This window comes from Homo sapiens, chromosome 1, assembly GCF_000001405.40.
Source record: "Homo sapiens chromosome 1, GRCh38.p14 Primary Assembly".
In the NCBI taxonomy this organism is placed as follows: Eukaryota; Metazoa; Chordata; class Mammalia; order Primates; family Hominidae; genus Homo; species Homo sapiens.
In genome coordinates, this window is record NC_000001.11 from 183670352 (window position 1) to 183689689 (window position 19338).

At 38.0% G+C, this 19338-nt stretch overlaps 1 protein-coding gene across 9 annotated transcripts in view, besides 1 other annotated feature; it reads left to right on the forward strand.

The window, feature by feature from the left end:
- RGL1 (ral guanine nucleotide dissociation stimulator like 1) overlaps positions 1 to 19338 on the forward strand; it is a 292424-nt gene that overhangs the window by 34243 nt on the left and 238843 nt on the right. The gene's annotated exons all lie outside the window — the stretch shown is intronic.
- Positions 13845 to 14346: an enhancer, noted in NCBI's record as "H3K27ac hESC enhancer chr1:183653331-183653832 (GRCh37/hg19 assembly coordinates)". NCBI's record gives its function as "activates a minimal SCP1, AML or CMV promoter by ChIP-STARR-seq in naive H9 embryonic stem cells {active_cell/tissue: H9 hESC(naive)}" and the evidence as "EXISTENCE:reporter gene assay evidence [ECO:0000049][PMID:30033119]".

A 19338-nucleotide genomic window follows, 5' to 3' on the forward strand; every position in this document is an offset into this window, starting at 1 on the left:
ATGCTCTGGCACATTTCAAAATTGGTTTTATTTTGTGTCCCCCTGCTGGAATCATAAGGGAATTTTTCTCTGATATTTGCTGTCAGGTAGAGCTCCTGGATGTAAAACGCATAAAAGTGTGGAAGCCCCCATATGACTGGGTCTCTCTGGAGTTTTAAACTTACAGTTGTCTTCACTGAGCCTCTAGCAATCCATTAATTACAGTTCAGGTTTTCCTATCCTAGCACTTGTTCCTGTGGAGGTTTTTGCCTGGGAGTTTATGTTCTGATAAGTTGTGATTCTCAGTATCTGCCTGTCTCTCTGATATTTGGGGCAGTGGTTTGTCCTATAACTCTACTTTTCTGATGGTTCTAAGAAGAGTTGTTGATTTTTCAGTCTGTTCCAGTTTTTACGTGATGTTAGGATGGAGTAGCAACTTCCAAGCTCCTTACATGCTGAACCAGTTTATTCCTTTTTAATGCTGAATAATATTCCATCGTATGGATATACTACAATTTGTTTATTCATCTGTTGGTGGACATTTGAATTGTTTCTAGTGTTGGGCTATCGTATTAGTCCATTTTCATACTTCTGTAAGAACTGCCCAAGACTGGTAATTTATAAAGGAAAGAGGTTTAATTGACTCTCAGTTCTGCATGGCTGGGGAGACTTCAGGAAATTTATGATTATGGCAGAAGAGGAAGGGGAAGCAAGGTACCTTCTTCACAAGGTGGCTGGAAGGAGAAGTGCTGAGTGAAGGAGGAAGAGCCCCTTATAAAACCATCAGATCTTGTGAGAATTCACCCACTATCATGAGAACAGCATGGGCAAAACTGCCCCCATGATTCAGTTACCTCCACCTGGTCTCTCCCTTGACATGTAGAAATTATGGGGATTACAATTCAAGATGAGATTTGGGTGGAGACACAAAGCCTAACCATATTATGAAAAAAGCCACTCTGAACATTCATGTTTAAGTCTTTGTGTGAACATATGTTCCACTTTTCTTGCATGTATACCCAATAGTGGAATTGCTAAGTTTTATGATAAATAAATTTCAACTTTCTAAGAACTGCCAAACTGTTTTCCACAGTGATTTACCATTGTACATTCCCACTAGCAATTTATGAGCATTCCAGTTGCTCCACATCCTTGCCAACACTTGGTATTGTCAGTGAAAGGAAGCATTTACTATATCAATTTAGAAAGACTAGTTTCTTCTAAGCTTGCCATTTGACAGAAAGGGAATGAAGAGTGGATGGGACTCTGTAGTTTCTTCATTTGGATAGCTAATGCCCCATAAATCTCCAAAGATACCACATTTATCAAGAAATTTGATATTTAAATTATCACCATTTTCAGCTTCTCTTGTCCCAATTTCTTCCAAATGGAGCTAAACTCAGTTCAATCTGGTTTTCCAATTAGGTAGAGTATATGGAAGCTGAGAGGAAGTATTATGGCTGTAGACTCAGTAGGGCATATGGTGAGCTCTGAAAATCCTCCAAGTGGTTGCTGTTGAGAAATTCATTGTCGGTCTAGTTGTTTCATTATAGATAATTTTTCTTTGTGACATTTAAGAAACATTCCTTACCTTTGATTTTTTTTTTCTTTTTTTTTTTTGAGACAGAGCCTTGCTCTGTCACCCAGGCTGGAGTGCAGTGGCGCGATCTTGGCTCACTGCAACCTCTGCCTCCCAGGTTCAAGCGATTCTCCTACCTCAGCCTCCTGAGTAGCTGGGATTACAGGCACCCACCACCATGCCTGGCTAATTTTTGTATTTTTAGTAGAGATGGGGTTTCGCCATGTTGGCCAGGCTGGTTTCAAACTCCTGACCTTAGGTGATCTACCTGCCTCGGCCTCCCAAAGTGCTGGGATTACAAGCATGAGCCATGGCGCCCAGCCCTTACCTTTGATATTTTAATTTCACTATGATGTGTTTAGGTATGGATTTATCCTGCTTAAAACCCAAATTTCATGATTCTTATTTTTCATTAATTCAGAAAAATAGTCATTATTTTCTGAGTCTTATTTTCTCAACAGAGAAATGTTTCTCTGTTCTCAACAGATAAAAATATTTCTCTCTTTTCCCATCTTTTGGAACATAGATTTGGTATATGTTGAACATTTTCATTTATTCTATGTGATTCTTCATTTCTCTTTTGCAGTGGCTATAAAAATTATCATTCATTTTTCAATGCTGCATTCTAGTTAATTTCTCCGGATCAGTCATCTAGTTCTCCACTTCTTTCTACAGGTCTTTAATCTGCTATTTAACCTACTTAAGGGGTTTTAAAAATCCAGTGCTTATGTTTATCATTTCTACATGCTTTAGGGATTTTGGTCTTTAATTAATTTAAATGTTCTTATAGACTATAACAAACAATTCTATTTTCTAAAGTTCTTGGGAGTCTAACTCTGCTTTTTGTTATTTCTACCTACTCTTGCTTACCTGGATTGCTTTTTGAGTGTGGTAAAATTTTATTTAGTAAGTCATACTTGGTGGGGATCCTGTGTGGCTTACATTCATGGGATGTCTTTCTAGAGCAATGTTTCCATTTTCTTCTTCAACTTTTATTTTAAATTCTGGGGTACGTATGCAGGATGTGCATGTTTGTTACATAGGTAAACATGTGCCATGGTAGTTTGCTGCACAGATCATCCCATCACCTAGGTATTAAGCCCAGCATCCATTAGCTATTCTTCCTGGTGTAGAGCAGTGTTTTTTAATTTTCCTGCATATTAGATTAATCTACTGAGCCTTTAAATATCAAGATGCCAGGTTGAAGCTCAGACCAGTTAACTCAGATACTGTGAGTATGAGACTGAAGCATCAGTGTTTTTAAAACCTCACAGTCAAGATTGAGAACCATTGCTCTAGAGAAAATTTGCCTTTGATTTTTACAGGCACTGTGAGTGTGTTTTCAGACCTGGACCAGTTTAATATCAGTGTCTCAACTTTGGGTTCCTGAACTATATAGGTAGCATAAATTTGAAACTCATGTTTGGGGAACCTTTTTCTTTCTCTCATCAAACATGTAGGCTGAGATAGACAGATTCCTTGTCATCTCTTTGCACTTAGAGAGTAGCCCTTTAGGGGTCATGGGGGCAAGGAAGGGCTCTGTTCTACTTCATCAGGTTGAGCAAACCCAAGGCTTCATTGTTGATTCCGTATGTCTGTGAAATCCTGAACTTCTTGATTACCAATATTAACAAATGCCCTCTGTGTGACTTAAATGTCGATGCCAGTGCAGCAGTTCTATGTTTATGTCTTTTTCTGATTTTGGTTCTAAATTCCTCTTACTTCCGTGAGAGCTCAGCTGTACATTTAGAATCTTTGTTATATTTAACAATTCTCAGTTTTTCTGTGTACTTACATCACACTATTGCTAGAAATAGAAGTCTTGCTATGATGGCATTCTCTACCTTTGTGGCCATGCCCTACCCTTTGGGATCATCCTCTTTTCCAGATGCCTGCCTAAACCAAGTGTGAACTTGCTGTGTCTTTAGACATGGTGCATTGGGTTTGCAAGTGTCTATCTGGCAGGCCCCTGGAGCTTGTATGTGTTCCTTCACCCTGCTTGGCTTGGTCTTGGCTTTGTCTTAATCCATCTGGTCTCTGTTGCCAAGGTCTAGGCATGCTTTGAATTCCAACCTACCTGAATTATGTCAACCTCTATTCTTTTTCTTGTGTTTCCAAGTCTTTGTCTTCACTCACTTGCTAAACTCAGGTCTGGTTTCAGTTTATTTCCTGGACTCATCTTTCCACAAAGGACTCGCTTTCCCTGATTTGAGGGTTTGTAGCACAGTTTATAACACCATGGGAGTGAGTCCAGCTCAGGATTCACATTTCTAGGATGCCAAGATGGTCTGAGCAAATAGCTTCTAACTTTATATGTCATTAAAAAAACACTTGTTACTGAGTATGTAAATTCCAAATACTTTCTATTATATATTGATAACATTTGTACCTATAGTATTAATTGAAGATAAATGCTGTATCACTGATTTTGTCAGGAAGAAGGATACCCTTTACAGTTGAGGATACACTTTTGTTTTTTTTAAATTTGCTTAATTCATGTATAGCCATCTTCCTGTGTATCAAATAAAACCAGCTGTGACTGGATTGTGGCTCTTGTAGTCCATGCAACCTTTTTACTCTGAGACCTTGGAAGGAAGCTGAGTTTGGTGGAAAGCATCCAGAGAACTCTTGGCAGCCTTGATGGATCATTTACCCCAGTTTGGACTTTTCTATCTCTTTTAGGAAGCTCTGCTGAGATCATTACTGAAACATCAGTTTTCCTCAGAGAATAACCCCTGGTCTTCTGCCAGTGGAGTTAGCATTTGGTTATGAAGATGGCTTTGAGAATTAAATAAGATACCTGGAGGCAAGAGTGCATTATGTACCGGTAGTGAGCCCACAGAAATGATAGGTTGCATGATTGTTGGTGGATAGTGGTCTAATATAATCTTTAATCTTTCATCTATCAATTGCATCCTTTAGGATTTGTGTTAATGCCCCCCTTTCAATCATTCTGTCTTTATTTAGATTTCTCTTCATATTTTCTGTCTTTTCTTTCTTGGCAGTATCTTCAAAAGTAATTAGGCGGCTGTCCCAGAAGTTGCCTTTGAAGATTGTTGCAATGTGTATACCTGTCAAAAGGAATTGACCAAACCCTGCTGAAAGCTATTTTACACATCAATTTATGAGCCAATCTCAGCTCTTCTGTTCTGAGCTGATCATCCAGAATGATCCAAAAGGAAACCATCAGAGCCAATCATAGTGCCTGGAGTGATTTTCAGATGCCTTTTTTTCTTCTTTTACTTACACAGGGCACTCGGGAATCTTGCACTCTGGATGAACCCAGTTTACATTTTGGTTGGGATGGGGAAAGTAGAGCTTTAGACTTTATTTTGAAGGCAAAAACCCTTTTATTTACATAGGAAACATTTCAATTCTATATGGTTTTTTTTTTTCTCTTTGTTTTCTTTTCTTCTTTCCCTCTATCCTTCCTTCCTTCCTTCCTTCCATCCTCCCACCCTCCCTCCCTTCTTTCCTTCCTACCTACCAACCTACATTTTTTTTTCTCTCTTTTGGTATCTTGGAACATATCTAAGGCTTTTGGAAAATGGACATTGTTGAAGAAAAAGTGTTATCACTATTACAAAAATATGATTTAGAATAATGGAACCTCAGATTTGGAAAGAACCCAAGGATTCCTTTATTTCAGCCATTTAACTAATGCTTAAATTCTTTCCAATCTAGTCACAGCCCATGATGGGATACCTACATCACCTGCAAGTGTTGGGAAACTTCTGTGTCCTGCAGTATCCCTTACAATTTTGAACAGCTCTGGCTGTTATTTAGTTACTGTTTATGTTGAGCTAAAATATACTCTCCTGTAATGCCTATCCTCTGCTCTTTAGTTTCTTTTTTGGGGACCATAAAGAGCAGTATTTTTAAAATTTCAGGCTGAAATTCAGGGTTGTGAAATAATTTTAATTGGTTATGACCATCATTAAAAGAGAAGAAAAAGGCCAGATGTGGTGGCTCATGCCTGTGATCCCAGTGCTTTGAGAGGCTGAGGCAGGAGGGTCACTTGAGCCCAGGAGTTTGAGACCAGCCTCGGCAACGTAATGAGCACAGGTCTCTACAGAATAATTTAAAAATTAGCTTGGCATGGTGATGTGTATCTGTTGTCCCAACTACTCAGGAGGCTGAGGTGGGAGGATGGCTTGAGCCCAGAAGGTCAAGGTTGCAATAAGCTGTGATTGCACTGCTGCACTCTGGCCTGGGTGACAGAGACTCTGTCTCTAAAAACAAATAATAATAAATAAATAAAAGGAGAAGAAGAACAAATAGAACAGAATGAGAGTAGAACAAAATAGAAAATATCAGAGTATATCACAAGTAGTAAAGTTTTCATGAAACCTTTGTCTTGATTTTATGTTTATTTAATTATATAATTAACTATGTATGTGCACTGTATCTCAATGGTCAAAAGAGTTTGAAAGCTGCTGAATAGAACATGTCTCACTTTTCTTCCCTATGCCACCCACATAGTTGAGCCATTCTCATGCCCCATCAAGTCTTTTCTTCCCTACACGAAGCATTTCCATTTCTTTCCACTCATCCATATGTATCACAGTCTCACATTTCCTTGCCACACTGAACACAGTTCAATGAATCTAGTTTGTATGAAAAATTGGGACCTGGAATCAAAAACAATGTCCCTAGCTATGTTCTAACTGAAACAGGGGCAAGTAGAACTACCCTGTTCTTGGTTAGCAGAATGCACTTCACTGCATTTTAATGCAGCCTGAAGTGATTAGATCGATGAGGATGTGTCACAGAGACTCCAGAGCCAGAGGCCCCTGGGCTGTGTCTCATAGTGATGAAATACACAGCCCAGGGGCCTCTGGCTTTGGAGTCTCTGTTTAGTCAGTGTAAGCCTGCAGATAAGCTGAAGAGTAACCAAGGGCAAGTTACTTCTCTATGCCTCAATTTCCTCATCTGTAATATAAGCATATTTCAAATTTGCAGTATTTTATAATATTTTTGGATTTTTTTTGTGAGTATTAAATGAGTTAATACATGTAAAGGACAGAAAAGGGCATATAATAAGCACTTAGCAATCCCAAATATTTTTAAAGCAATATCAGCAAATTATTGATTCATTGAACATTTCATCAACTCAGACATGTAGAGCTTTCAGCATGTGTATAAATAGTGTGATTATATGTCCCATTGTGCCCAGGGTAGCCCTAGTTTTTACCTATTGTCCTGGCATAATTAATGGTATCCCCTTTCATTCTCAAAGGCTCCAACAGAACCTCAGATTTGCTTATTCCAAATCGTATTTTTGCAGTAGGAATTAATATTTTCCTCAGTTGTGTGCCATCCTAGATAAAAGCCACAACTTCTCTCACTAAATATTTAATCAATTTTGGATTTACTTGGAAGATGGGATCTCTCTCTCTTTTTTTTTCTACTGAAGTTTCACCTGAGCCCGCTGCCCATTGCTATACCTCCTTTCCTTGCCAAGTGGCAGAAGTTAGCTTCAGACTAGAAACTCCAAAGGGGAGGCTGTCCCCCTTGGGCCCAATTACCTGGGTTTAATTTGCCCATCATTCTGTTCTGTGAAGACCTTTTGGATTCTGATTCTGTCATTCAGGATATTTACTAATCCTCAATTTCATGTTATTTTCAAGTCCTTTTTCCTAGGGAGCTGACATCCCTTAAAGGTTGCTTTATGTCTTAATCCAAGTAAGCTGAGGTTACCCAATGGGGTTTTCCAGAGAGGGTTTATATAAAGCCCTGTGGAAGTGTTAATGGTTGCTATGTATTGAACCTTTATTATGTGCAAACAAACTGCACAGTATCCCTCAAATTAGGGGTGTTGTGAACATTTTACACATGTATATTCCCTGGTCAATGTCACATCACCATGAGTTAGGTGTTATCTCCATTTTAGGGGTGAGGGAAGCAAGGTTGTCACGTAGGTAGTGAGGCGGAGAGCTGGGACTTGAATCCAGTCTGTGTGGTGAGGATACCTGGAGAACAGGGCACCCTCAGAATGAAGGTCTGAACAGAGGTTCTTGATAACATAGCCTTTAAACTGGAAGGCTTTTTTTCTGATGTGATAAAATTATACTTCCATATGTAATTCATCATTCTGTTGAGGTCTCATAGTCCTTATTTAAAATATCAATTATTTCCATAAAGATGAAACTATTAAAGCAGATGTGGATGAGGTGGAACTTTGGGGGTTGGAGGATTAATAATTTGAGGGACACTGTGCAGTTTTTTTTCTTGTAAAACATCTATAATGTCTATTTGCTTTTCCTCATACGAATGAAAGAATATGTGCACCTGTGTGTAACCTCCTAGGCAATGAAACAGTTGGCTTTCTGTGGAATAGATTGGTGCACCAAAGACCAAAGTGCCTTCCTTTGAATTATTTTCCCACTTTCCATAGATTTATATTCTTCCCTATCATGATACCATAATCAGTGAGTTTTTTATTGATTTATATCAGACTTACTTCCAAAGAGAACTTGAGTTTATATCACTTTTTGTTGATGTATCAGCAACGTTAAAAATATTACTTCTGTATTACTAACATAGTCTATTACTAAAAAGTAGGCACTATAATGGAATATGTGAATGAATTGGTGAATGGCCAACACATATTAACTTTAAGAATGTTTCTCTCTCACTTGTGTTTTGTTGTTGGTGAGTTGAGCTACTTTGTCTCTTTTTTTTTGACACCAAGATTTTTTTTTTTTCCCTGAGACAGGGTCTTCCTCTGTCGCCAGGCTGGAGTGCAGTGGTGTGATTATGGCTCACTTAAGTGCAAGATTCTTCTAAGCAAGATTTCTTTTTTTAAAAAAGTTGTGATGTTTGAAAGAATGAGTCTATTTCCTAAGGCTTTGGCTTTTGGAGAGGTCTGGTTAGCTTCTTTGAAGATCCAGTCTCACACTGACTGGTTACCTGCATGACAGAAGGGGTAGAAAACAGCCTTTCCAAGGGTGAGACAAAGACCTCTTAACTGTCACTGTTAGTCCCCTTTTACAAGCCCAAAATAGTTACTGAAGCCGCTAGGGCTGGGCATTTGCCATATTAACACCTCCAGCTTTTAAGTGGAAAGACTAGGAGACGTGAGTACCAAAGTGGATGGAAGAGCATTTATATATAGGTCCTAAGCATATCAGAGGGAGGAAAGGCTAAGCCCATCATTTGTTCCTGGCTCCTCCTGCTGATGCCTTTGAGATGTGAGGGTCAGGTTGCTTCAGCAGAGCCTAAAACTTAGTCTTTCCCTTGTAGAACCTTTTAAATTTCTACCTAAGTTATAATTCACATCCGAAAGCACACCAGTCTTTGATTTAAGTATTTTTATATTTACATTTATTATTTATTTTTATTATACTTTAAGTTCCGGGATACATGTGCAGAACATGCAGGTTTGTTACATAGGTATACATGTGCCGTGGTGGTTTCCTGCACCTATCAACCCGTCATCTACATTAGGTATTTCTCCTAATGCTATCCCTCCCCTTGCCCCCCACCCCCGACAGGCCCCCGTGTGTGATGTTCCCCTCCCTGTGTCCATGTGTTCTCATTGTTCAACTGTCACTTATGAGTGAGAACATGCGGCGTTCAGTTTTCTGTTCCTGTGTTAGTTTGCTGAGAATGAGAATGAGAAAAAAAGAATGCTCATCCTTTTTTATGGCTGCATAGTATTCCATGGTATATATGTGCCACATTTTCTTTATCCAGTGTATCACTGATGGGCATTTAGGTTGGTTCCAAGTCTTTGCTATTGTGAACAGTGCTGCAATAAACATATGTGTGCATGTGTCTTTACAGTAGAATAATTTATAATCCTTTGAGTGTATATCCAGTAATGGGATTTCTGGGTCAAATGGTATTTCTGGTTCTAGAGCCTTGAGGAATCGCCACACTGTCTTCCACAATGGTTGAACTAATTTACACTCTCACTAACAGTGTAAAAGTGTTCCTATTTCTCCAGATCCTCTCCAGCATGTGTTGTTTCCTGACTTTTTAATGATTGCCATTCTAACTGGTGTGAGATGGTATCTCATTGTGGTTTTGATTTGCATTTCTCTAATGACCAGTGATGATGAGCTTTTTTTTCATATGTTTGTTGGCCGCATAAATGTATTCTTTTGAGAAGTGTCTGTTCATATCATTTGCCCACTTTTTGATGGGGTTGTTTGTTTTTTTCTTGTAAATTTGTTTACTTCCTTGTACATTCTGGATAGTAGCCCTTTATCAGATGGATAGATTGCAAAAATTTTCTCCCATTCTGTAGGTTGCCTGTTCACTCCAATGATAGTTTTTTTTGCTGTCCAGAAGCTCTTTAGTTTAATTAGATTCCATTTGTCAATTTTGGTTTTTGTTGCCATTGCTTTTGGTGTTTTAGTCATGAAGTCTTTTCCCATGCCTGTGTCCTGAATGGTATTGCCTAGGTTTTCTTCTAGGGTTTTTATGTTTTAGGTCTTATGTTGAAGTCTTTAATCCATCTTGAGTTAATTTTTGTATAAGGTGTAAGGAAGGGGCCCAGTTTCAGTTTTCTACATATGGCTAGCCAGTTTTCCCAACACCATTTATTAAATAGGGAATCCTTTCCCCAATGCTTGTGTGGCGTTATTTCTGAGGCCTCTGTTCTGTTCCATTGGTCTATATATCTGTTTTGGTACCGGTACCATGCTGTTTTGGTTACTATAGCCTTGTAGTACACTTTGAAGTCAGGTAGCGTGATGCCTCCAGCTTTGTTCTTTTTGCTTAGGATTGTCTTGGCTATACAGGCTCTTTTTTGGTTCCATATGGCATTTAAAGTAGTTTTTTTCTGATTCTGTGAAGAAAATCAATGGTAGCTTGTTAGGGATAGCATTGAATCTATAAATTATTTTGGGCAGTATGGCCATTTTCACGATATTGATTCTTCCTATCCCTAAGCATGGAATGTTTTTCCATTTGTTTGTGTCCTCTCTTATTTCCTTGAGCAGTGGTTTGTAGTTCTCCTTGAAGAGGTCCTTCATATCCCTTGTAAGTTGAATTCCTAGGTATTTTATTCTCTTTATAGCAATTGTGAATGGGAGTTCACTCATGATTTGGCTCTTTGCCTATTATTGGTGTATAAGAATGCTTGTGATTTTTGCACATTGATTTTGTATCCTGAGACTTTGCTGAAACTGTTTATCAGCTTAAGGAGATTTTGGGCTGAGACTATGGGGTTTTCTAAATATATAATCATGTCTTCTGCAAACAGAGACAATTTGACTTCCTCTCTTCCTATTTGAATACCCTTTATTTCTTTCTCTTTCCTGATTGCACTGGCCAGAACTTCCAACACTATGTTGAACAGGAGTGGTGAGAGAGGGCATCCTTGTCTTGTGCCTGTTTTCAAAGGGAATGCTTTCAGCTTTTGCCCATTCAGTGTAATATTGGCTGTGGGTTTGTCATAAATGGCTCTTATTATTTTGAGATACATTCAATCAAAGCCTAGTTTATTGAGAGCTTTTAGCATGAAGGTGTGTTGAGTTTTATCAAAGGCCTTTTCTGCATCTATTGAGATAATCATGTGGTTTTTGTCATTGGTTCTGTTTATGTGGTGGCTTACGCTTATTAATTTGCATATGTTGAGCCAGCCTTGCATCCCAGGGATGAAGCTGACTTGATCATGGTGGATAAGCTTTTTGATGTGCTGCTAGGTTCGGTTTGCCAGTATTTTATTGAGGATTTTTGCATCGATGTTCATCAAAGATATTGGCCTGAAATTTTCTTTTTTTGTTGTGTCTCTGCCAGGCGTTGGTATCAGGATGATGCTGGCCTCACAAAATGAGTTACGGAGGAGTTCCTCTCTTTCTATTGTTTGGAATAGTTTCAGACAGAATGATACCACCTCCTCTATGAACCTCTGGTAGAATTTGGCTGTGAATCTCTCTGGTCCTGGGGTTTTTTTGGTTGGTAGACTATTAATTACTGCCTCAATTTAAGAACTTGTTATTGGTCTACTCAGGGATTCGACTTCTTCCTGGTTTAGTCTTGGGAGGGTGTATGTGTCCAGGAATTTATTCTAGATTTTCTAGTTTATTTGTGTAGAGGTGTTTATAGTATTCTCTGATGGTAGTTTGTATTTCTGTGAGATCAGTGGTGATATCCCCTTTATCATTTTCTATTGTGTCTATTTGATTCTTCTCTATTTTATTCTTTAATAGTCTGGCTAGTGGTCTATTTATTTTGTTAATCTTTTCAAAAAACCAGCTCCTGGATTCATTGATTTTTTTGAAGGGTTTTTTGTGTCTCTATCTCCTTGAGTTCTGCTCTGGTCTTAGTTATTTCTTGTTTTCTGCTAGCTTTTGAATTTGTTTGCTCCTGCTTCTCTAGTTCTTTTAATTGTGATGTTAGTGTGTCAATTTTAGATCTTTCCTGGTTTCTCCTGTGGGCATTTAGTGCTATTAATTTCCCTCTACACATTGCTTTAAATGTGTCCCAGAGATTCTGGTACGTTGTCTTGGTTCTCATTGATTTCAAAGAACATCTTTATTTCTGCCTTCATTTTGTTATTTACCCAGTAGTCATTCAGGAGCAGATTGTTCAGTTTCCTTGTAGTTGTGCGCTTTTGAGTGAGTTTCTTAATCCTGAGTTCTAATTTGATTGCACTGTGTTCTGAGAGACTGTTTTTTATGATTTCTGTTCTTTTGCATTTGCTGAGGAGTGTTTTACTTTGAATTATGTGGTCAATTTTGGAATAAGTGCGATGAGGTGCTGAGAAGAATGTATATTCTGTTGATTTGGGGTGGAGAGTTCTGTAGACGTCTATTAGATGTGCTTGGTCCAGAGCTGAGTTCAAGTCCTGAATATACTTGTTAATTTTCTGTCTCATTGATCTGTCTAAGATTGACGGTGGGGTGTTAAGTTCTCCCACTATTATTGTGTGGGAGTCTAAGTTTCTTTTGTAGGTCTCTGGTAACTTTCTTTATAAATCTAGGTGCTCTTGTATTGGGTGCGTATATATTTAGGATAGTTAGCTCTTCTTGTTGCATTGATCCCTTTATTATAATGTAATGCCCTTCTTTGTCTTTGTTGATCTTTGTTGGTTTAAAGTCTGTTTTATCAGAGACGAGGATTGCAACCCCTTCTTTTTTTTTTTGCTTTCCATTTGCTTGGTATATATTTCTCCATCCCTTTATTTTGAGCCTATGTGTGTTTCTGCATGTGAGATGGGTCTCTTGAATACAGCACACTGATGGGTCTTGACTCTATCCAATTTGCCAGTCTGTGTCTTTTAATTGGGGCATTTAGCCCATTTACATTTACGGTTAATATTGTTATGTGTGAATTTGATTCTGTCATAATGATGCTAGGTGGTTATTTTGCCCATTAGTTGATGCAGTTTCTTCATAGTGTTGATGGTCTTTACAATTTGGTATGTTTTTGCAGTGGGAGGTACCAGTTTTTCCATATTTAGTGCTTCCTTCAGGAGCTCTTGTAAGGGAGGCCTGGTGGTGACAAAATCTCTCAGCATTTGATTGTCTGTAAAGGATTTTATTTCTCCTTTGCTTATGAAGCTTAGTTTGGCTGGATATGAAATTCTGGGTTGAAAATTCTTTTCTTTAAGAATGTTGAATATTGGTCCCCACTCTTTTCTGGCTTGTAGAGTTTCACCCAAGAGATCCACTGTTAGTCTGATGGGCTTCCCTTTGTGGGTAACCCGACCTTTCTTTCTGGTTGCCCTTAAAAATTTTTCCTTTGTTTCAACCTTGGTGAATGTGACGATTATGTGTCTTGGGGTTGCTCTTCTCGAGGAGTGTCTTTGTGGTGTTCTCTGTATTTCCTGAGTTTGAATGTTAGCCTGTCTTGCTAGTTTGGGGAAGTTCTCCTGGCTAATATCCTGAAGAGTGTTTTCCAACTTGATTCCATTCTCCCTGTCACTTTCAGGTACACCAATCAAATGTAGGTTTGGTCTTTTCACATAGTCCCATATTTCTTGGAGGCTTTGTCTGTTCCTTTTCATTCTGTTTTCTCTAATCTTGTCTTCACACTTTATTTCATTAAGTTGATCTTCACTCTCTGATATCCTTTCTTCCGCTTGTTCAATTTGGCTATTGATACTTGTGTATGCTTCACAAAGTTCTCGTGCTGTGTTTTTCAGCTCCATCAGGTCATTTATGTTCTTCTCTAAACTGGTTATTCTAGTTAGCAATTCCTCTAACCTTTTTTCAAGGTTCTTAGCTTCCTTGCATTGGATTAGAACATGTTCCTTTAGCTTGGAGGAGTTTGTTATTACCCACCTTCTGAAGCCTACTTCTGTCAATTCATTAAACTCATTCTCCATCCAGTTTTGTTCCCTTGCTGGCGAGGAGTTGTGATCCTCTGGAGGAGAAGAGGCATTCTGGTTTTTGGAACTTTTAGCCTTTTTGTGCTGGTTTTTCCTCATCTTCATGGATTTATCCAGCTTTGGTCTTTGATGCTGGTGACTTTGGATGGGGTTTTTGTGTGGATGACCTTTTTGTTGATGTTTATGCTATTCCTTTCTGTTTGTTAGTTTTCCTTCTAACAGGCCTCTGTGCTGCCCCTCCTTCCACCAAGCTCGAGCGTCCCAGGTCGACTCCAGACTGCTGTGCTGGCAGCAAGAATTTTATGCCAGTGGATCTTAGCTTTCTGGGCTTCATGGGGGTGGGATCCACTGAGCTAGACCATTTGCCTCCCTGGCTTCAGCCCCCTTTCCAGGGGAGTGAACCGTTCTGTCTCACTGGTGTTCCAGGCGCCACTGGGGTATGAAAAAAACTTCTGCAGCTAGCTTGGTGTCTGCTCAAATGGCTGCCCAGTTTTGTGCTTGAAACCCAGGGCCCTGGTGGTGTAGGGACCCGAGGGAATCTCCTGGTCTGTGGGTTCCGAAGACCATGGGAAAAGCGTAGTGTCTGGGCCAGAGTGCACTGTCCCTCATGGCACAGTCCCTCACAGCTTCCCTTGGCTAGGGGAAGGAGTTCCCTGATCACTTGTGCTTCCTGGTTGAGAGGACGCCCCCACCCTGCTTCGGCTCACCCTCCATGGGCTGCACCCACTGTCTAACCAGTCCCAGTGAGATGAGCTAGGTATCTCAGTTGGAAATGCAGAAAATCACCCGCCTTCTGCGTTGATCTTGCTGGAAGCTACAGACCAGAGCTGTTTTTATTTGGCCATCTTCTATTTACATTTATTTTTATATGTAGTTATATATTTAAAACTTTATCTTGACCACTTGATTTAGAGTAATGGAAATTGGAGAAATGTATACAGTACAGAACATTCTACATTGGCTTTTTTTTTCCTATTTAAAATGCTTAAACGTTCTTTAACTCAAGAACTTTAATTTTGCTAATAACAAAGATTCTTAAGCTTAGTGTGAAACATGGAAAGGAAACGCCAGCAGCCTGGTTATGAATAGGATCAGCAGTGCCATCTTGTGGTAAATACCTTGAATTACAATTAGAGGCACCCGCATGGGATCTGGGAGACTAAGAAATTCTACTCTATGCTCAGTGATTTACATAGAATGTAAAAGGTATTTCTCACCATTTTAAGACTTTGGGTTTATATAATCAGAGGAGGTTCTTCCTTTACAAATGTGGCAAAGACTACAGTTTTCTACAAGACCTTTTAATGTTGAGCTTTTAATGTTACATACAATTACATTAAATGTTACTGTATGTAATATTAAAAACTACAGTTATAATTTCAAAAAGATTATAGTACATGAAACATTTTCTCTAGCAGCAGCTCTAATGTGTAATAAAACCTAGTATTATAGGTTAAATTGGATATATCTATAACATAATAAGGTAAGCAGCTATAGATAAGTCAAAGCATGGCAAGTATATGATCAGATAATAATCCTGTTTCCTTCAGACCTAACATGTGGTAATACAGTAATTTTGTGTTCTTTAGCTTGTCTGCTGCTTTTGAAAATTCTTTTCAACAGTTAACAAATATTGATGAATCCAACTGGAAAAAATAATGTTTACCTATTCATTAGTTCCAAGTCTGTGATAGTTAAATACGTGGGACCATTGTAGTTTCTAGAATAATTACATTTAAAATCCCCAGCACCTTGCAAAAATATTTATTCAATTCATATTTTGCTTTTTACGTTATCAACACATATTAGTTTAGAGAGTTTAGCACAAATCACTAACTAGACCAGTATTAGTAATCCATTGGTAATTCCAAGTCTCACACTGGATCATCTTGAAAATAGTTCATGGGTTACTATTTTTTTCATTAGTTATATATGTCATGCCGAATCAACATTATTTTCAGAAGTCATTCCTCTTTATTTTATTGCCCTTTTGTGTCACTTTCTTTTTCAAATTATAAAAGTAATATATGTTCATGATGCAAGTTCAGATATTAAAGTAATCATTCCTGATAAACTTAACCCCTGGAAATAATCACCATTTACAGTCTGGTGTATTATTTTCAGTTGCTGCATTTATTAATAAAAATATTTTCTCTTTTCAGTTGGTCAGAGGTAGGGGCACCCCATCTTCATTTCCCTCAGTGGCACTTTCTTCCAGAAAATTTGCTGACAATATGTTTTTTTTGTCTGCTAAGATAACTGGGAATTTCATTACCCTGATAGGAAATTTTGATTTTTATTCCTAGTTTTGCTGTTTCTCACTTCCTGCAGTGTTGGATTTATTGGGCACTGGATGACAACACTCTGTAGTGCTATACAGATTTCCTAGCATGTTCAGATATACATTAACCATGCATAGAAAGGTTGTAGAAAGCTTAATGACTTTGCCCAAGTTAGCTAACATGTGACTAGCCACGATTTAAATCCCTTCTGATTATACCTGTACCTAGGTGAATTCTTCTGGTCCCATGACTTTAAATACCATCTGTATTTGAGATGACTCTCAAATTTGTATCTTTAGCCCTGCCTTCCCCCCTGAGCATCAGACTTGTATATGCAATTTAAAAAAATACATCTCCGCCTCAGTGCCATCTCAAACCTTGACTTGGCAATAAAGAGAATGCTTGATGTCCTCACCGCTACCTTTTTTCTCCCAAAGACTTCTCCATTTTAGCTATTGGCATCATTAGCTATCCATTTGCCTAAGCACAAACCTTGGAATAACCTTTGGTTTTTCTCTTCTTCAAGCGTGACATCAATCCATCAGCACATGCTGATTCTAACTACGTTTCCCTAACATAAGTTCATCTCTTACCTAGGCTAACATAATCACATCCCAATTGGTTTTCCTGCTTCCCCTCTGTCTGTCATCACCATTATGTGCTATTCTATTACCTTTTTATTTTTTTCATTATATTTAACAATATCTGGTATTATTGGCTTTTGGATCTATTGTCTGTCTTACTTTCCTTCTAGAATGTAAGCTCTGCAAGGCAGAAACTTTTATCTTGTCACCACTGAATCCCCAAGACCTAGAACACTGCTGGCAGGTAGGTTTCGTGTTGAACCTGTAAACAAACAAATTAATTAATAGAAGAAGTCTGGTGCTTGTTCAGTAGTTGGGAATTCAGGAAAATTATTCCTTTGCTGGTTTTCTCAGCGCTGTTTTGTATAGCGTTGAAAGAACTGAAAAACTTTTATTTAATAATGTGTTCTTGAGATTGATATTAGAGTCTTATTATCTTAGATATACAGTATCACTTAGGCCTTGCTGAATGCATTTTATGCTCCCTGAGATCTTTTTGGGAGATTTTCTGTGGAAACCTGAAAAGGAAACCATCACAGTGCTTTCTCAGAGAAGCAAGGCTCAACAAATGACTGGGAAGAAACTTTTGCTGGTTGAGAGAGGTATTCAGTATGTGCTTCAACAATGATGTAAAAGGGAACAAAGAGAAGTGAATGCAAAACATCTTTATTTGCTTTGGACTGCCCTTCTTCCACTAAGGCTAACTTTGAATAAAGAGGAACTCGATACCGGGCCAATGAATAAATTTTTAAAACTGGAAACTTAAAATGAAGGTTTGAGGATCCTGAAATACTATATATTTTAAAAAATCAATGATTCTTTTAAGAAATGGAAAACAAAGTGAGGGAAGAGTGGGTAGAGAGATTGATTGGTCATTCTATATCTAGTGTAATGGAAAAGGTATTTTGTGTCAGCAAGATCTGGGTTTTGATTCTAGTCTTGCCACTAGCTGGCCACATGACCTTGGATGTCTTGCTTCTGAAATCTAGGCTTGTTATTTCTGTTGGTGGTTTAGGATGATCACATGAGATGAATCTTGGGAAATAATTCTTACAATTATAAAGCACAATACAAGTGTAATATATTATCCTGATTATCATTATCTCACCATTCTAGTATGAGGATCCAGGGCTTCATTCTCTTGATGTTTTCAACTTTGTGGTCCCAGAACTCCAATGGCTACAAAGATGCCAAGATCTGAACTCAGAGATTCATGAAACAGCTCTAAATAGTTTTAAATTACTTCCTTGGGAAATTTTTGCTTGCTTATGTGTATCTGAGATTAACAACAGTAAAAACACCTTTTATATAGCACCATCAGTGAGGCTTTATGTCTTTATTATAAATTTTGGAGCATCCTCCAGGCTCTCAAAATGAAATCTCTGGATCTACTGAAGAGAGAGAGAGAGAGAGAGACAGCAAGGACTTTCATGTCTTTAAAAGCAATTACAGGCTCAGGTCTCTGAAAAAGTATTAAGTGCCAAGACTGACGCCTCTGCAACCATTTATTCTTGACATTTTTTCAACTTTTTTTTAAGCCAGACTATTGATGCATTTTAATACCATTAGTATTTGTTAAAATTAGTTCAGCAGTATTATTAATTTGTCTTCTTAAAATAAAAGGCAGGAAAACAGTATTATGCATGTATTTAAATAAGTCCCCTTTCCAGATATTGGAAGGTATGTTTTTAAGTATTCTGGAGAAAAGTCATTTTAAAAAAATTTCCAAGCAGACCATTTTGCTTTAGAAATATTGAAGATGCAATATGTGAATCATATTTGGATTTTAAAGCAGGATATTAAACTTCACAGTAAAAATGATTCCATAGTTGTTAAAGTCCAAAGAGAGGTTTACGAAGCCAGCAGACAGAGAAACTGAAATTCACTTGGAGAGGTAAATGACACAGGAATGGAAACATTGAATAAATAACTTTACAGCAATTTTTCTTGATGTTATTTTATCCCTTAAAGGCAGACAGATCATTAAAATTAAAATTGTATTAAAAATATTCTCTATAAAAATATATAACCCAATAAAATGAATGTTGAGTCAGCCACGTGTATTTCTTTCCAAACCCATAATTTGGATTTGGATTGGATTTCCAAACCCACAATACTAAATTTATTTAGTATTTTGAAATTCATATTTGCTAGGCAGTGCATCTTAGTAAATTAAAAAATATATATTCCCATTACTTAGTTCATGTAAATAATCCTAAAGGTGAACTGAATTGGCCTTACTGAAATGGAGGCTCATGCCAGGGCTGACCAGGGAAGGTGAAGAGAGGATAAGAGACATTTTATCTTCATGCATTTGTGTCTTTGCATTTGCTGTTTCTCTCCTGGATGTGTTTCCCATCCTGGGTCATTTGCTTAAATTCATACCAATTTTTTTTAGCATCTATTTCAAGCACCCTGTTCTCCACTATGACTTCACTAACATTTCTAGATAGATAGTTGCTCCTTTCTATTGCTGCCTTGTATGTAACTCTGTTATTGCATGTAACACATCATCAATAATTTGCTTACATTTCTGTAGCTTTTGTATTTCCAGTACCTACCTTAGTGCTTGACATATAGTAAGAACTTAATAAATGTCTGCTGAGTGAATAAATAAAAAAGTGAGTG